At 36.9% G+C, this 19,619-nt stretch overlaps 1 gene segment (V, D, J or C) and 1 further gene, besides 5 other annotated features; both read left to right on the top strand.

The window, feature by feature from the left end:
- TRA (T cell receptor alpha locus) overlaps positions 1-19,619 on the top strand; it is a 930,229-nt gene that overhangs the window by 420,594 nt on the left and 490,016 nt on the right.
- Positions 4,864-4,913: an enhancer, noted in NCBI's record as "active region_8112". NCBI's record gives its function as "activates an Ori minimal core promoter by ATAC-STARR-seq in GM12878 lymphoblastoid cells {active_cell/tissue: GM12878}" and the evidence as "EXISTENCE:reporter gene assay evidence [ECO:0000049][PMID:35858748]".
- Positions 10,024-10,069: a sequence feature (TRAV21 leader sequence).
- On the top strand, positions 10,024-10,559 carry TRAV21 (T cell receptor alpha variable 21). The segment is given in 2 exon segments: positions 10,024-10,069; positions 10,270-10,559. Coding segments are annotated over 2 exon segments (336 nt in total), but the record flags the coding sequence as incomplete, so codon positions are not given.
- Positions 10,270-10,559: a sequence feature (TRAV21 leader sequence).
- Positions 10,567-10,589: a recombination feature (spacer).
- Positions 10,590-10,598: a recombination feature (nonamer).

Below are 19,619 nucleotides of genomic sequence, written 5' to 3' on the forward strand. Positions count from 1 at the left end.
TTTATTTGGTGGACATATAAACTCACTATTCTTGGGTAATTCCACTGGAATGGACTTGAATGGACTTAACTAGGCCATAAAATAGGCATGTATTTAGCTTTAGTGGTTATTATCAAATGTATTTCGAAAGGCTACCAAGTTGTATGCTCTTATGAACAATGTATGGGAGTTTTAGTTATTCCATGTCTTCACCAAAAAATGGTATCAGGTTTCTTTTTGTTTGTTTTTTAATTTAAGCCATTATGGTGACATGCAGTGGTATCTCATAAAATTGTGGTTTTAATTTGCTTTTCCTGAAGAATAATGATCCTGAGCACCTTTTCATATGCTCATTGTCCATCTGGATATTCCTTTCTGTCTAGTACCTGTTCAAGTCGTTTGCTTATTTGTTTATTGTTCATATGTAGGCATTCTTCATAGATTCTGGCTATAAGCCCCTGTCAAAACCATCTATTGTGAATTCTCCACTAATCCATTACTTGACTCTTCACTTTCATAATGATTTTCTTTGAGATACAGAAATTCCTAGTTTTGGTAAAGTCCAAATAACTATTTATTTTTCTTTATTGGTTAGTAGTTTTTGTGCCCTATTGAGAAATCTTTGCCTACCTCAAGTAACAGACACACTTTTTTTCATGTAGGTCCATTTGCCACCTCAAATCAATTTTCGTGATGCTATGCAAAAGGTGTCCAGGTTCCTATTGCCCCATGACCATTTAATGAAAAGATCTTCCTTTCCCCCACTGAATTGCAGTGGTGTTTGGGTCACAAATCAGGTGATCCTACGTGTATAGCTCTATTTCTGCACTCTATTTTGTTTCTTCTGTTAGTTCAGCCTCCCAGCTATCTCATAATGTGCTTATTAATATAGCTTTAGAATAGAATTTGAAACTCATCAGTGTTTTTCTTCATCTGTGTTCTTCCCCTTATTATTTTATCCATTCTATGTCCTTTCTGAATCCATACAAATTTTAGAACTAGTTTCTAAATTCTAAATCATTTTCACATCTACAAAATTGCCCTTGCAGTTTTGATTGGTATTGCATTAAGCTTATAGATAACTTTGAGGAGAATTGCTACCTCAAAAATATTGAGTCATTGTGTCAAAAATATAGACTATCTACCTGCTAAGGTCATCTAATGTCTTAAGCAATGATTTTAGTTCTCAATGTAGTGATTTGCACATCCTGTATCAGATTTACTTCCATGTATAGACATTTCATGCAGATTTAAAAATTTTATTTTCTAATTGTTGCTAGTGTATAGAAATACAATTGGTTTTTACATATTGACCTTATATTCATTGAACTTGCTACACTTACTAATTTTAATCATTTGGTCATACATTATTTTGGATTTTCTAAGTCCACAATCATGCCATCTGCAAATGAAGAAAAATTTGTTTCTTGCATTATAATCTTTGTATCTTATTTATTTTCCTTTCCTTCCTTATTGGCCAGACTTAGTGGAAGAGTTGGCCACTCTATTTAGATCTGCTTATCATCCCAGGGAGGCAGGGACTTAAAAATGTAAAAGATATAAAGTGAGCGAGTGGTTTATGGAGTTCTAGCTATTGAGTCAAAGTAATGACTAATGCCCTACTTATAAATAGACTCTAAACAACAGCATCGGCTCTTTCCACCTCCGCTTTGTGTAGAAGAAATGCAGGGAGGCCTAGAAAAAAGGGAGCAGAAGTAGAAGCTTCCTGATTTAGGAAGAGAGGCACAAGTGTTATTTTACCCACGTCATCTGGTTTTGTTGTATTTAACCCTTTGGGTTTACAGCCTTACAGTTTGCCCAATGTGTTCAGGTGAAGCGATACAAAAATCACCGAAGGATTCCTGCTTTACCTGGTACCAATTTTGTCATTCTCATCATCATCTTTATCGTCACAAAAACTATGAAGTAATATTAACCCATTTCTCAGATTGGGAAACTGAGGCTTACATAAGTTTTGAGATGAAAGCATTTCTGAGATAAAGTAAATGCTGCAGGTACCATAAAATAAGACGAAGAAAAACATATAAAACTTCAGAGTTAACCAACTAGACAGCACTTCTCTAATTTTACTGTACATTTAAGAATCACATGAAGAGTTTATTTTAAAAATGCTTTATTTCCATAGATTCTGATTCTATAGGTCTGATACGGGGTCAGGAGTCTGCTTTTTTTAGTGAGTTGTCTAATGATTTTGATCATTAGATCTGGAGATCTTACTTTGAAAAACACTGCAACTGGGAGAGTACTGCATTTCAGGAGGATGGATGATATAGACATGCAGGTGATTTTGTGTTAACTTAGATAACAGGGCTTAGGGAACCAGGAAACACACCTGGGAATGCCTTAATGTGGGTTATGCCTATTCTGATTAAACTATATCCTATCATAATTAGTAGAAGATACTTTGTTTTGATGATAAAGAAGGGAATGATTTTTGTTTCAACAACAGAAATTTATTTATGATTTGAAAAGCAGCAGAGAGATTAGGGGATAGACAAGCCTTTTAGTTGCAGACTTTCCAAGAAGAAAATAGGCTAAAACAATATATGAGATTCTCCACTATGAATTAAACTTTTTCATTCTTTATTGTCAATTAAAAAATAAAACTTCTATATATTTTAAAGGCCATAAACCAATTATCTTAGTGTTTCCTTCAATGTTCTAAAATTTAGACAGGTTTTATCTAATTATTTTATTTACTCTTTTTACTCTGCCTGGATTCTTTACAACATTTTAACTTTCTATTAAAGAAAGTTGGTTCCAATACTGTTAAGGCTCTGTTTATTACATAATATAGCACAATAGTGCTCTAAACTCCACCTTTAACATGCTCATATAATTCCAGTATAGACCATGCTAATACTCATAATTGTTTAATGACCATGGTTAATCTTCTGCTGCATCCTCATAGCCAGGCTTTCCTTTTCCTGAATCCATGATGAGTTTGGTTGGTGTGAAGACTGTAATTGACTTTTGTCCCCAGAGCTCACCTAATATTATATTCCTAATATTATTGGAATACAAATATGTCTATTTACATTTATATATTTATAATCTATATGTTACACATTACACATTTATATTTATTTATATGTTATATGACATCTAATTATTGGAATATATTTTTATTTTGTCTTTTGGAGAATTTGTTATGGAATCAAACAGACTTATTTTTCCCATGAGATCAATAGGATATATTGTGGGACATTTTCTGTTACGAATTTGGCAAATAGGACCCAAAGCTAGGAACCAAGATTCATTAGGCATCCACCATTTTTCATTAAGAATGGCTCACATTTTAAGCACAGCTGCACTTCTCAAAAAATTTTTTTAAATAAAAAAATTAAAAAAAGAATGGCCCACAGTTGGACATTCTCTGTAGAGGTAAGAAGCAGCAACTGAACAGGCTCTGCAACCTCCAATTCTCACCTCTTAGCTGGTGTGAGGAGGTAGCGAGGGATGGGAGGAGTCAAGAAGAGAATATCATCAGAGTATTCCCCCTTTCCCACAAGCCACTTGAGGGGTCAGTACTCCAAAATAATTACTTCCAAAGACAGAGATCTGCTGCATAAAAAGGAACATTGTGTGACATTTTCATCTTTGTTCTGAAGCAGATTTTAATCTATGTTTACATCTACTTAAGAAGAAGACGAGGAAACTGGAGAGAGATGGTGGAGTGGAGAGGGGGCAGCCATGGCCTGCCTGGGTTTCTGCACTGGGCATGGTGAGGAGGCACGTGTATTCTGTGGGCAGGTGCTGCCTCTGAGGTGCCAGGGCTGAGCTGTCCCACCAGAGCTTCACCCAGAGGAGAAAGTAAGGGGCTGTGGAGGGTTCTCCTGAGGGAGGGGCTGACAGGAAGGGGAGACACCTCCCTTGAGGAGCCCCTGAGGTCCCCTGGGTGCTCTCTCATAGGGACACTCACCATACACAGCCATCAGTGGTCGGCCAGGGAAGCAACAACACTAGAGGTGCACAGTGGTTAAGTAAGAACAGTTTTGTTGTTTCTTCCCCTTAATCTTTTCCTTTCACCTTAATCCCGGGAAGTTAAAATCAAAGAAAAAGGAGGAAAGAAGAGAACAAAGTAGGCCATGTCCACCTCACTGTAGCTCGGGATCAGGCCTGAAGTTTGGAGAGCAGAGGAAAGGTGAAGACTGGAGTGTTAAACAGAACTGCCCTGAGGTTTATTTAACCACTGAAAGTGGCCCAGAGGTTTGGAGCTTTCTTTCCTAGACCTCTTCAAGGGCATAAGGACCAGGGCCCCTCTGAAGGACCCAACCATGCTTAAGCCTCTTTGATGCTCTTTTCTTTGGCATCCTTTCCTCTCCCTATCGCTCCACCCAGAAAATGTTTATATAGACTCTGGTAGGCAGACTTGCATTATATCTTTGTATCATTTCCTATAAGTCAGTTTATGCTGGATTCCTTAATTTGCCTATAAAGCTGAAAGTTTTGAAATAAGATGGTAGGAAAGACTTCTTTATTTTTGGTTTCCAGCTATGCCTCCTTTCCTGAAAGTGATAAGCAGAAAATCACCCAACTGCCTCAATGGAGGAAAAATTGTGAGGTTAATTAAAAATAATAATATAAAAAGGCAACCACTGTTAATATTGAAAAATGGCTTGTCACACATGGTGATCATTCTGAAACCACAAATGACCAAAACTGGTGAAGTCCTTTCTGTAACATCACAGGCACGTCTAAGTGATTCTTTTCCATATCTGTAAAGTAACTTTACGAAAGCAGGTGAAGACCTGCCCAGGACCTGAATGAAAGCATTCATGTATTTAGTCACAAGAGGGGGCTGCTGTGTCTGTCAATAAGATGCCTGTTCAGCTGGGGAAAGAGTGTTTGGCTCACAGTCAGTAGTGAAGCCGTGCAGAAACTGTGACAAATGATACTCTTTATTCTCTTTGTTCTAAGCAGAGTAGTCTGTGCATAGCTTCCAACATTCAATAATTCCTGGCCTTGCCTCAATCCATTATGAAAAGTTTTGTTTCTACTCAAAATAGGACAATATAGAAAGACAGAGACAGGAAGTAGTTATACAGCTTTCAAGTTGAATTGATCTTTTTTTTGTCGTTTTTGAAATAGAGAAAAGTAGATATTTTTGGTGGGGAAGATACTTTTTTTTCTCAATCTATTTCATTTCTCTTAAACTTGAGAAGATAATGAGAAAAAGTCTTCTAGGTTGCTCCCTTCCTTCTTACAGTCCCCTCCTTTCTTCTGTCTTTCCTCTTCTCTGCATTTCAATTCTTAGTGTGTGTCACCACTAGGCACACACATGGAGAATGGGGAAAGGTGGGTCAGGGATAGGGTTTCTGGGGTGTAAGGATGTGTGTGACCCCAAGTCTCTTGTTTCCTTTGTACCAAGATATGCAGTCTGTAAATGCTCTCCTAGAGATAGATGATATCTAGAGGCATTTCAGGCATCTGGAGACATGGCTTCCTGATCAGGTTCTGATTATACTTTTCTGGTCACTTTGGACACATTACTGTCTGCGTCTGAGCCTCATTTCCTCTTTATTGTTATTTAGATGGGCTTTCTCCATCTTCTTATGATGGTATAAGCCTTGGTAGGGTTTTCCTGAATATAAAGAAACTTGTGACAGAGTGGACTGTACTCCTGGGTAAGAGTTTCAGGCCTAAGAAAAGATGGTGTTCTAAACCAAGAAATCAGAAGAGGAACCTGCTGCCTGCACTGTCTTACTCTCCTTCACCCAAGATGCTAAGGGCAACCAATCAAATAACAGCTGTTAACTTTTTGAGGAGGTCACATCCTCAGTGTGAGGGGCTACATCATACCCAGTATATTAGTTTGTGCCATAGGCTGGGGACTTAAAAATCAGAAATTTATTGTCTCATGGTCTGGAGGCAATGTCTGAAGTCAAGATGCCAACAGAATCCAGGAAAGGAGGATCTGTTTCAGGCTTCTCTCTTCGGCTTATAGATGGCCATCATATCCCTGTGTCTTCATATCATCTTCCGTCTGTGTATATCTGTGTCCAAATTTCTCCTTTTATATTGCATTAGATCCCACCTCATTTTACTTAGATACCTCTATAATCAAGAAATAATCTTGAACCCAACTCCAAATAAGGTCACATTCTGAAGTACTTGGCGCTAGGAGTTCAACATATAAATTTTAGAGGGACAAATTTTAGCCTATAACCCTCAGTGAAAGCTCACAGAAGAGTTTTCTTTGCTGTAGAATTTCCTGTTTTATTGAGCCCAAGGGAAAATGACAGACAGATCCAGGGAGTCCTGCCTCTTAACTAGTGAGTCTACATGACCCCAGCCGTATTTGGCTCTTTCTAGGGGAAGGGAGTCATACATAAAATTACTTCTCAGTACTATACCAGGGGTCTTCAACAAGTTCATGAAAAATGCATATTACAAAAAAATTATGCATAATTTTTAAATTTTTGCATCAAAATAAACTCCTACTAACTTGTTATGACATTGTACACAGTATCTAATTTGAGGCACTAAGAAGGATGAAAGACAAAACAGTGTGAAAAGAGCTCCTGTCAGAGCAACGTGAATTCTGCCAATATTGAAGCAAAAACAAGCACCAAATTTAAGGTAAAGCTTGGGTGGAAGAATGGTGAAATCATTGACAAGTTTATGGGGGCAATTCCCCAAAGAAATTAGCAGTTTACAAATGAATAACTCATTTTAAGAAGAGACAAGATGATGTTGAAAATGAAGCATGCAGCAGCAGAGCATACACATTGATTGAGAGGAAAAAATTCATCTTATTCATGCCCTGATTGAAGAGGACTAATGATTAGCAGCAGAAAAAATAGCCAACACCATAGACACCTCAACTGGTTCAGCTTACATAATTCTGACTTGAAAATTAAAGTTGAGCAAACCTCCCACTCAGTGGGTGCCAAAATTGTTGCACCCATATCAGCTGCAGAGAAAAGCAGACATTTCAATGGAATTTTAAACAAGTGGGATCAAGATCCTAAAGCATTTTTTCAAAGGATTTTAACAGAAAATGAACACAGATTCACCAGTACAATACTGAATACAAAGTACTGTCAAAGCAATGACTGCCAAGAGGTGGAAGTGGTCCAGTCAAAGCAAAAGTGGACTGGTCAAGAGCAAAGGCTGTAGCAACAGGTTTTTTTGTTTGTTTGTTTGTTTTTTGTTTTGCTCAAGGATTGTTGCTTGTTGACTTTCTGGAGAGCTGAAGAATGACAACATCTACTTATTACTAGAGTGTTTTGAGAAAGTTAGCCAAGGCTTTAGCAGAAAAATGCCCAGAAAAAGCTCACCAGAGAGTTCTTCACCACGACAATGTTCCTGCTCATTCTTTGTGAGAGTTTCAATGGGAAATCATTAGGCCTCCATCTCACAATACTGACTTTCTTTCTTCTGACTTATTTTTGTTTCCTAATCTTAAAAAAAATCTTTAATGGGCACTTACTTTTTCTTCAATTAATATATAAACAAACCTGCATTGACATGGTTAAATTCCTGGACTCTCAGTTCTTAGGGATGGACTAAATGGCTGATATCATCACTTAAAAAAGTGTCTTGAATTTGTTGGAGCTTATGTTGAGAAATAAAGTTTATATTTTTTAATTGTTACCTTTTAATTCCATATTTCTATAAACTTTTTGAAACCCCCTTATACCTTGATCTGAAAAATCTGCCTTGATTTGAGGGTCTGGGGATAATCTCGTTTTTCTCCTCAGGGATTATGTGTAATGTTAAAGCCACAAAAGTAGGGCAGTGCTGAAACAAGAAGTGAATATACCCTGTTCCCACTCTACCACTGGAGGAAATGAGGACACAATCTGGTATCAACAGTTTGATAACCATGGCTCACAGTATCTGATTGGAGGTTTAAAGAACGAGGTGACCAGTCAAATGGCTTCACTGCCTGTATTAGTCTGTTCTTTCATTGCTATAAAGAAATACTTGAGACTGGGTAATTTGCAAAGGAAAGAGGTTTCATTGGCTGTTCAGGTTCCGAAGGTTGTACAGGAAGCGTGTTGTTGGTATCTGTTTGGCTTCTGGGGAGGCCTCAGGAAACTCTCAATCATGGCAGAAGGTGAAGGCAGAGCCAGCACTTCACATGGTTGGAGTAGGAGGAAGAGAGAGAGGACGGGGAAAGTGCCACACACTTTTAAATGACCAGATCTCAAAAGAATGCACTCACCATCACAAGAACAGCACCAAAGGGAAAATTTACCCCCATGATCCAAACACCTCCCACCAGGTCTGACCTCCAACATTGGGGATTACAATTTGAAATGAGATTTGGGTGGGGACACAGATCCAAACCATATCACTGCCCATTCCTGTGGACAATAAGGCTAGTACCCTGGTCCTGCACCAGATAACCCTCAAAGGCACCACCATGTGTTACTACACTGTGGGCAGATTGGACCACATCTGTCTCCCAGGTGAAGAGGGGAGATAAAATCCATTTAAAGAGGGCATTGCCCAAGAAAATGTGAGATTAATGGAAGAAGGTAGAAAATGAAATGAGAAGAAGGAAAGGGGAAAAATAAGGAAAGGTACATGAAATCAAGAACTGCACCAGTAAAGAAAAAACAAGGAGAGAGAAGATCCTGGATATTGCTCTTTCTCCAATCTAACATTTTCATTCTTGGTAAAGGTCCGGTGTCAAGTTCATAAATTGAGCATTATTTTTCTGAGAAATATCTGGGCTCTCTCGATTTTTTCAACTATAGCACATGCATTGAAAAGTAAATGAATTTTGAAAATTTGCTAACATGAAATCATTATATCAATATTTTTATTTCAACATTTCCCTAGTTTTCTATGTACCTGTATTCCATTTTTATGACTAATCACTTTGTAAATTAATGTGTAATTGTTTAAGTATCTACGCAATATAGAATAAAAAGTGATACTTCATTGATTTTCTTCTGACAAGTTCCTAATCACTGTTGGGTTTCATCACACTTCCACTGTTTCTATACATTTAAATACAAACTCACAGTAAACATACTTTTAAAAATCGTAAATAGGATCACACTATATATAAAATGCTGTGGTTCAATTGAATAAGAGACAGAAGCTTTTGCAACTCAGAAAGTTTAACCCACCTTATACTTTTTTGCAAGTGTAGTAAGTAACTCACAATACAGAGCTACCATAATGTATTGACTATCTATATTGAAAGAATATTTAAATTTTTTTCCACTTTTTTAACCATTGCATGCAATGTACAGTGCTGTAAGTGTATTTATAAGAGTATTTCTTAAGAAAAATTCCTGGCCAAATGGAAATTTTGCATTCAGTAATATGTAAATAACATATGTAGACATTTATTAATTATATTTCAGCTATCAGAATATCAGAGTATCCATTTCCTGACATTATCAACAAAACTGAATATTAATAGTATGATTCTGAACTCCTTTTGCAATATGACAAGTAAGAGATGATAGAAAGGGCCTTTTCACAAAAATGCAAGTTACGGGAAACCAGTCCTTAAGCACTGAAGTGGCAAGAAGAGACAGCAGTCAGAGGAATCTGGAGAAAGTTGCTGTAACAGTATGGAAAACATTTATATATTTTTTCTTTTCTAACATAAGCATTTAAGAATATATATTTCTCTCTATGCACTGATTTGGCTGCATTCTACAAATCTCATATTCAAACATTTTTGTTTCTTTAGGAGAAGGAGGAGGAGGTGAAAGTGGAGGAGAAAGAAGCATTTCTCTAGCAGTACTGTGCTTGGTTCTGAAGTGGCAGTGTTTTCATTTCTTTCATTCCATTTCCACCTCCCACATTTTGCAGATCTGTGTGTGTGTGTGAGAGAGAGAGAGAGAGAGAGGAGAGAGAGAGGAGAGAGAGAGAGAGAGAGAGAGAGAGAGAGAGAGAGAGACTTGTCTCAGATTGGCTGGGCCAACTCTGTGTTTCCTGTAGAAATGTTTGAACATATGAGAGAGCAAAGCAGAGTGTTTATCTTGTGAGCCATTCTCCATATTTCAGATATAAGATTTCAGTTCTCAGTGAGTCTAAGTGACAGAAGGAATGGAGACCCTCTTGGGCCTGCTTATCCTTTGGCTGCAGCTGCAATGTGAGTTAGAGGGAAATGGAAATGAGCAAAGAGCAGGCTGACTCCAGGACGTTTCTCCCAGGAAAGAGGGAGAAAGAAAGGGAGTTGTTATGCCTGTATGGTTTACTGGGAATTTCTGTGGAAATTGAAAAAATAAATTTAAAGGTAATTTCTAAGGAATCATTAGCCACTAACCAGTCTATTGCTCTTTTTCTGAACAGGGGTGAGCAGCAAACAGGAGGTGACGCAGATTCCTGCAGCTCTGAGTGTCCCAGAAGGAGAAAACTTGGTTCTCAACTGCAGTTTCACTGATAGCGCTATTTACAACCTCCAGTGGTTTAGGCAGGACCCTGGGAAAGGTCTCACATCTCTGTTGCTTATTCAGTCAAGTCAGAGAGAGCAAACAAGTGGAAGACTTAATGCCTCGCTGGATAAATCATCAGGACGTAGTACTTTATACATTGCAGCTTCTCAGCCTGGTGACTCAGCCACCTACCTCTGTGCTGTGAGGCACAGTGCACAACAGGCACCTGCAACCAATACCCAAACTCTATAGCTGGGGCTCTAACTGCATGTTTTATCTTGAGACTGAGCAATGTTTTTGCATTAAGAGGACTTCTAAATTGACACTGTCTCCACACAGAAGCAATCAAATACACAAAACTTGATGTAATAATCTGAAATTAAACTATGAATTCTCTGATCTTTAGATTTTTATCAATTTTAATATAAATAATAGTTTTATTTCAATTAATTTACATGCCATGAAGTTCAGTCTTTTAAAGTGAACAATTAAGTGTTATTTAGTGTATTCACAATGTTGTGCAGCTTTTATCTCTGTGTAGTTTCAAAAACTTTTTAACATCTCAAAAGGAAACCACATGTCCATTAAGCAGTTACCTTGCCCACCCTCCTCCCAGCCTCTGGCAGCCACCAACCTGTTTTCAGTCTCTATGGATTTTCCTATTCTGTACATTTCATATAAATGGAATAATATAGTAGGTAGTGGCCTTTGTGTATGGCTTCTCTCACATGGCATAATTTTCTGAGGTTTATTCAATGTAGGAAGGACCAGAGAAAGCTAAATATGCACATCTAACCAATGACATGCTTATATCTTCCCCATGCAAGAGCCTCCAACCAGGGCATACCTGAAGCTTTGTTAGTTTTCTTCCACTCTAAAGCTTCCCTACTCCTCTGCCTATCTTTAAGTCTCTGCCAAACACAAGGGACGGTAGCTGATTCCTTTGGTATACCAAGCTCTGAATAAATTGCCTTTGCTTTTTTCATTTAGGTGGTCTTCACTTATATCCACAGAACTATTGTAAAGACACTGAGTTTTTCTTCCCTGCCAAGTTCTCACTTCACCATAAGAGTCACTTTGCACATGAAAAATTAATGAATCACCATAAGAAATGTTAAAGCTGGAGGGCAGCTTGTCCTCCATTCAGATAGGTCATTGAAGCCTACATCAATCAGATAGTACTTCTTAGATAAGTCAGAGAGATGCATTGATGTAAAGCCCAGTTCTCAATATTTACGTGTCAAACTCTGTCCTCAATAAAAGCTCGAAACTCCAAACAGATATCTTGGCCTTCCTGGAAGATTTTCTTATCAACAAGTCCTTGTTCTCATTTATTTCTTTTACTAAATATTCAGGCTCCATATTGTGTGATGAGGAGTTTGCATTCACAACCTCTGCCATATCTGGGCTACAAAGCTGCTTTCTTTCTTGACATTACAAACCAACTCGTGGGTAAGTAATACATTCAGATATATGAGCTATAAAGGAGCTTAAATAGTGGGGGACTTCACCACCCCACTGACTATGTTAGGAAGATCATCAGGGCAGAAAACTAACAAAGAAATTCTGGACTTAGGGCCGAGCGTGGTGGCTCAAGCCTGTAATCTCAGCACTTTGGGAGGCCAAGGCGGGCGGATCATGAGATCAGGAGATTGAGACCATCCTTGCAAACATGGTGAAACCCTGTCTCTACTAAAATACAAAAAAATTAGCCAGGCGTGGTGGTGTGTGCCCGTAGTCCCAGCTACCTGGGAGGCTGAGGCAGGGGAATCACTTGAACTTGGGAGACAGAGATTGCAGTGAGCGGAGATTGCAGTGAGCCGAGATTGCGCCACTGCACTCCATCTTGGTGACAGAGTTAGACTCCATCTCAAAAAAAAAAAAGAAAAAAAGAAATTCTGCACTTAAACTTGACCAATTGGATCTGACAGAATTTTATAGAATACTTCAGTCATCAACCACAGAATATATATTCTTCTCATTGGCCATAAAGCAAGCCTCAATAAATTTTTTTAAAAATTGAAATTATACCAACCATACTCTTAGACAACAGTGAAATAAAAATGGAAATCAATACTAAGGAGATCTCTCAAAATCACATAATTACATGGAAATTAAACAACTTGCTCATGGATGATTTTAGATAAACCATGAAATTAAAGCAGACATCAAAAAATTATTTAAAATAAATGAAAACAGAGACACAACATACAAAAATCTCTGGGATGCAGCAAAATCAGTGATAAGAGGAAAGTTTATAGTGCTAAATGCCAACGTCAGAAAATAAGAACGATCTTAAATTAATAATCTAACATCATATGTAGAGAAACAAGAAAAAGGACAAACTAACTCCAAAGCTAGTAAAAGAAAAGAAATAACTAAAATCAGAGCAGAACTAAATCAAGACACAAAAATCCATACAAAGCATAAATAAAACCAAAAGTTGGTTCTTTGAAAAAAAATAATAAACAAGATGTATAGACTGCTAGCTAAATTAACTTTGAAAAAAATAATAAACAAGATGTATAGACTGCTAGCTAAATTAACAAAGAAAAAAAGAGAAGTTCCAGATAAGCACAATGAAAAATGACAAAGGCAGCATTACAAATGATACCACAGAAATAAAAAGATCCTCAGAAACTATTATAAACACTTCTATGCACATAAACTAGAAAATCTAGAGAAAGTGGTTGAATTCCTGGAAGCACACAATCTTCCAAGATTCAATCAAGAAAAAAATTGAATCAGTCATTAAGAATCTAGCAACCAAAAAAACCTCCTGGGCCAGAAGGATTCACGGCCAAATTGTACCACATGGACAAAGAAGAGCTTGTACCAATCCTGCTGAAATTATTCCAAAATATTGAGGAGGACGGACACCTTCCTAACTCATGCTATAAAGCCAGCCTCACCCTGAAACAAAAACATGGTAAAGACACAAAGAAAAAAGAAAACTACAGGCCAATATTCCTCATGAATCTAGATGTGAAAATTCTCAACAAAATACTAGCAAACCGAAACCAGTACTACTTCAAAAAGTTAATTCACCAGAATCAAATAGGTTTCATTCTTGGGATGCAAGTTTTGTTCAATATATGCAAATCAATAATATGATTCACCACATAAACATAATTAAAAACAAAAGCCATAAGATCATCTCAATAGACATGGAAAAAACTTTTGATAAAATCCAACATCCCTTCATAATAAAAACCTTTAACAAATTAGGCACTGAAGAAACATACCTCAAATTAATAACAGCCATCTATGACAAACCCACAGGCAACATCATATTGAACAGGTAAAAACTGAAAACATTCCTCTTGAGAACTGGAACAGGAAAACAGTGACCCTCTTACCACTCCTAGTCAACATAGTATTGGAAGTCCTAGCCACAGCATTCAGGCAAGAGAAAAAATAAAAGACTTTGAAGTAAGAAAAAAGGAAGTAAAAGTATCTCTCTTTACTGACAATATGATTCTATGCCTAGAAAATCCTAAAGACTCTGCCAAAAACTCTGCCAGAAGACCCCTGGAACTGATCAATCTTTCACTTCCTTGGTTAGATGGATTCCTGGGTATTTAATTTTTTTGTGGCTATGGTAAATGGTATGAGAGTGAAAGATCTCTACAAGGATAACTACAAAACACTGCTGAAAGAAATCAGAGTCAACACAAATAAATGAAAAGCCATTCCATGCTCATGAATTGAAAGAATCAATATTGTTAAAATGGCAATACTGCCAAAAGCAGTCTAGAGATTCAAAACTATCCCTATCAAACTCCCATCATTATTTTTCACATGATTAGACAAAACTATTCTAAAATTCATATGGAACCAAAAAAGAGCCCAAATTACCAAAGCAAAAAGAACAAAGACAGAGGCATCACATTACTCAACTTCAAATTACACTATAATGCTACAGTAACCAAAATGATAATGGTAGCAGTACAAAAACAGACAGATAGACCAACGGAACAGACTAGAGAACTGAGAAAGAAAGCCATACACCTACAATCATCTAATCCTCCACAAAGCCAAGGAAAACAAGCAATGGGGAAAGGATTCCCTATTCAATAAATAAACAGAATTAAAAACAAAAGATTTACAGTAAGACCTCAAACTATCAAAATTTCAGAATAAAACCTAGGAAATACCCTTCTTGATATCAGTCTTGGCAAAGGATTTTTGGCTTAAGTTCCCAAAAGCAATTGCAACAAAAATAAAAATTGACAAGAGGGATCTAAATAAGGAGCTTTTGCCTAGCAGAAGAAACTATCAACAGAGTAAACAGACAACCTACAGAATGTGAGATAATATTTGCACACTACACATCCAACAAAGGTCTTATATCCAGAATCTATAAGGAACTTAAACAAGTCAATAAGAACAACACAAATAACTGCATTAAAATATGGACAAAGGACAAGAACAGACACTTCTCAAAAGAAGATACAGCCAAGTGGCCGACAAATGTATGAAAACAATTCTCATCATCGCTAATCATCAGAGGAATGCAAATCAAAACCACGATGAGATACCATCTCACACCAGTCAGAATGGCTATTATTAAAAAGTCAAAAAATAACAGATGCTGGCTAGGCTATGGGAAAAAAGGAACACATACTCTGTTGATGGGGATGTAAATTAGTTCAGCCACTGTGAACAGTTTGCAGAGCAGTTTGGAAATTTCTCAAAAAACTTAACTTAAAATAGATCTACCACTCAACCCAGCAATCCCATTACTAGGTATATATCCAAAGAAAAATAAATCATTATACCAAAAAGACACATGTACTCGCATGTTCATTGCAGTGCTATTCACAATTGCAAGGACATGGAATCAACCTAGGTACCTGTCAAATGTGGATTGAATAAAGAAAATATGGCACATATACACCATGGAATACTATGCAGCGACATAAAAGAATGAGCTCGTGGCATTTGCAGCAACATGGATGCACCTAGAGGCCAAATTTCTAAGTGAATTAGTGCAGAAACAGGAAAACCAAATACCACGTTTTCTCACTTGTAAGTGGGAGCTAAGCATTGGGTACACAAGGACACAAAACTGGGAACAATAGATACTGGGGTTTCCTGACAAGGGTAGGACTGAAAAACTACCTATTGGATACTATGCTCACTACCTGAGTGACAGGATCATTCATACCCCATACCTCAGTGTCACGCAATATACCCATGTAACAGACTTGCACATAAACCCTCAAACCTAAAATAAAAGTTGAAATTGTAAAAAAATTAAAAATAAAATTGGATATAGTTATGAAAAAGGGGGCTTGACTAGTGCTACTTTAATAGCTATTATATTCCATAATATAAATGAACTTCTATTGTTAATGACAATTAATGAACTACATTGCAAGAATAAATGTGAGAGTTCACATTTGAAAGAAGTTGAAAGAAGTTACTTTCTCCTGCACATGGGGTAACAGCATCTTAGGTAGGCAAACACTTTGCTGTTGGCAATATGGCAGTGAACAGTTACAATTTAACAGGGAAGATGTATACACACAACAAAGCAATTCAAACAAATATATAATTTCAATGCATGATAAGGACAATAAATTTTAAAAATGGATATGAAAGATGATAAAATTGTGTTTACTTTGGCACGGTGGGGATTATGCTGCTGGTGGTCAGAGAAGGCCTCTCTGAGAAAATAGTTACATTGAGATATGTAGGAAAGATTGCAATAGCAAAGTTAAGGTTCCTGCTAAAAAGAGCTGCAGGCAGAGAGAACCACTTGTACGATACAGTGAACTTAATCAATAAATCTTTTGTGTGTGTTCTGACTTCTCCACCAAGTGACCGTTTGCCCCTCTCTTTCTCTCTCTGCAGGCCTTTCTATCCCCTAAGACATAACAATATTGAAAATTGGCTAACAGTGACTTCTAACTGTTCAAGGGAAAGGAAGAGTCGCATATTTCTCACATTATTTATTTTTCTTTTTGTGGAGATGGGGTCTCACTATGTTGCCCAGGCTGGTCTCAAACTCCTGGGCTCAAGCAATTCTCCTGCCTTTGCCTCCCAAACAGCTGGGATTATAGGTATGAACCACCACGATGGGACTCTCATTTTAAGTCAAAAGCTAGAAATGATTAAGCTTAGTGAGAAAAGCATGTCAAAAGCCCAATCAATAAGCTGACAGATAGACCTCTTGAACTAAACAGCCAAGTTGTGAATGCAAAGGAAAATTTATTGAAGAAAATTAAAAGTGCTACTCCAGTTAAACACATAAATGATAAGAAAGTAAAACAGCCTTACTGCTGATATGGCAAAAGTTTTAGTGTTCTGGATAAAATATCAAACCAGTTACAATATTCCCTTAAGCCAAAGCCTAACGCACAGCAAGGCCCTAACTCTCTTCAATTCTGTGAAGCCTGATAGAGGTGAGGAAGCTGCCAAAGGAAAGTTTGAAGCTACAAGAGGTTGTTTCCTGAGGTTTAAGAAATGAAGTCATCATCATGACATAAAAGTGCAAGGCGAAGCAGGAAGTGCTGATGTAGAAGCTGCAGCGAGTTTCCAGAAGATCTAACTAAGACCACTGATGAAGGTGGCTACACTAAACAACAGATTTTCATTGTAGACAAAACAGCTTTCTATTGGAAGAAGATGCCACGTAGGACTTTCATAGCTAGAGAGAGGAAGTCAATGCCTGACTTCAAAACTTCAAAGGACAGGCTGATTCTCTTGTTAGGTGCTAATGCAGCTGATGACTTTAAGTTAAAGCCAATGCTCATTTACCATTCTGAAAATTCTAGGGCCCTTAAGAATTATGCTAAGTGTACTCTGCCTGTGCTCTATAAATGGAACAACAAAACCTGGATGACAGCACATCTGTTTATAGCATGTTTTACTGAATATTTTAAGCCCAATGTTGAGATCTACTGCTCAGGAAAAAAAAGGTTCCTTTCAAAATAGTACTGCTGATTAACAATGCACTTGGTCACCCAAGAGTTCTGATGGAGATGTACAAGGGGATTAATGTTTTCTTGCCTGTGAATGTAACATCCATTCTGCAGCCCATGGATCAAGGAATAATTTTGGCTTTCAAGTCTTACTATTTAAGAAATACATTTTACAAGGCCATAACTGCCATAGATAGTAATTCCTCTGATGGTCTCAGCAAAGTAAATTGAAAATCTTCTACATGATACCATTAAGAACATTTGTAACTCATGGAAGTAGGTCAAAATATCAAGATTAACAAGATTTTGGAAGAAAGTGATTCCAACACTCGATGACTTTGAAAGGTTCAAGACTTCAGTGGAGTAAGTAACTGCAGGAGTAAATACTTTAGTGGAATAAGTAACTGAGATAATTTTGAAATGATATTGATGGTTCTTGTATATTTTAACTATCTAGGACACTGCTGTAGAAAGCTTTTAAGAATGGGAGGGAAATCATGGGTTTGGCATGGTTAAGTTGTTTTCTTTCCTGGAGGCAGTAAACGAGTTGAAAGGCTCTTGAGGTGCCCTCTGGAGCTCAGAATTTTTAAATGCCAGTTTTAAAAGATCCAAATGATTATCAAAATATAGTGGTAGATAGCAGGAGAACTAGAATTAGAAGTGGAACCTGAAGATGTGATTGAATTGCTTCAATCTCATGATAAAACTAACAAATAAGGAGTTTCTTTTTATGGGTGAGCAAACAAAGTAGTTTCTTGAGATGGAATCTATTCCTGGTGAAGATGCTGTGAACATCGTTAAGATAACAACAAAGGATTTAGAATATTTTATAAACTTAGTTGATAAACCCATAGCAGGGTTTTAGAGGCTTGACACAGATTTTGAAAGAAGTTCTACTATGGGTAAAATGCCATCAAACAGTATTGCAGGTTACAGAGAAATCTTTCATGAAAGGAAGTATTAATTGACGCAGCAAACTGCATTGTTGTCTTATTTTAAGAAATTGCTATAGTCACCCCAACCTTCAGCAATCACATCCTGATCAGTCAGCATCCATCAACATCAAGGCAAGACCCTCCACCAACAAAAAGATTATGACTTGCTGAAGAATCAGATGATCGTTAGCATTTTTTAGTAATAAAGTACATTTTAATTAATGTATGTACATTGTTTTTCACAGTGCTATTATTGTCCACTTAATAGACTACGGTGTAGTGTAAACATAGTTTTTATAAGCACTGAGAAACCAAAAAGTTTGCATGACTCACCTTATTATGGTGGTCTATAATCAGCAATATTTCAGAGGTATGACTGTATTTGACTTTGCCATCAACTCAATGACTTACACTCCAGAAATTGTTATTAGCAGAAGCATACCAAAGGTCAGGCAATGGGAGTGGTTTGTCCCAGTTGCAGGTAATAACAGGGTGCTTTATAGAGAGCTTTTTAAAAACAATATAAAAATGATTAATAGCCAATCTGATTTTTATTACCGTATGCCAGGAATTCTAAACAATGTCAATGATAAAAAATATTTTTTGACCTAAGTTCTAAACAAATGCAGAGGTTACTATTTATTTTAATAATAAATGTATGCTTCAAATTATCACATTTTTATTTCTTATCATGTAATAAACAGTTTTCTACATGGAAGTTATTTTGGAGAATTCTCAGTTTTGCAGCTGTCTTCAACACACATGGATTGTAATACAGCGATTTTCCATGTACCTTTTATCCAGTTTCCTCTAATAATATATTATCTTTGATATGTTGTATATATATCAAAACAATGATATAATTACAGCCAGAATATGGATGTCGATATAGTCAAGATACAGAACATTTCCATCTCTACAAGCATCCTCATGTTTCCCTTTTATTAGCAATAGCAACTTCCATTATGCCACCATCTACTATTTAACCCCTGGCAACCACTAATTTGTTCTCCATTTCCATAATTTTATCAAGAATGCTATATAAATGGAATCATTCAGGATATTTATGAACATGAATATTTTTCACTCTGCATAATTATCTGGAGATTCATACAGGTCGTTGTATATATTAATGTTTCATTCCTTTTCATTGCTGAGTAGAATTTCATAGCATGGATATGCCAGTTTGTGTAAACATTCACTTAATGAAGGACATTTGGGTTGTTTCCAGTTTTGAGCTATTATGATTAAAGCTTCTATAAGTGTTCATGTTCAGGTTTTTGTATGAAGGTGAGTCTTCGTACTCTGGAATATATACCAAGTAGTACAATTACTGAGACATGGAGTAAGTGTATGTTTAGTTTTATAAGAAATCGCCAAAGTATTTTCTAGGTTGCTGTACT

Source organism: Homo sapiens, chromosome 14, assembly GCF_000001405.40.
Source record: "Homo sapiens chromosome 14, GRCh38.p14 Primary Assembly".
Lineage (NCBI taxonomy): Eukaryota > Metazoa > Chordata > Mammalia > Primates > Hominidae > Homo > Homo sapiens.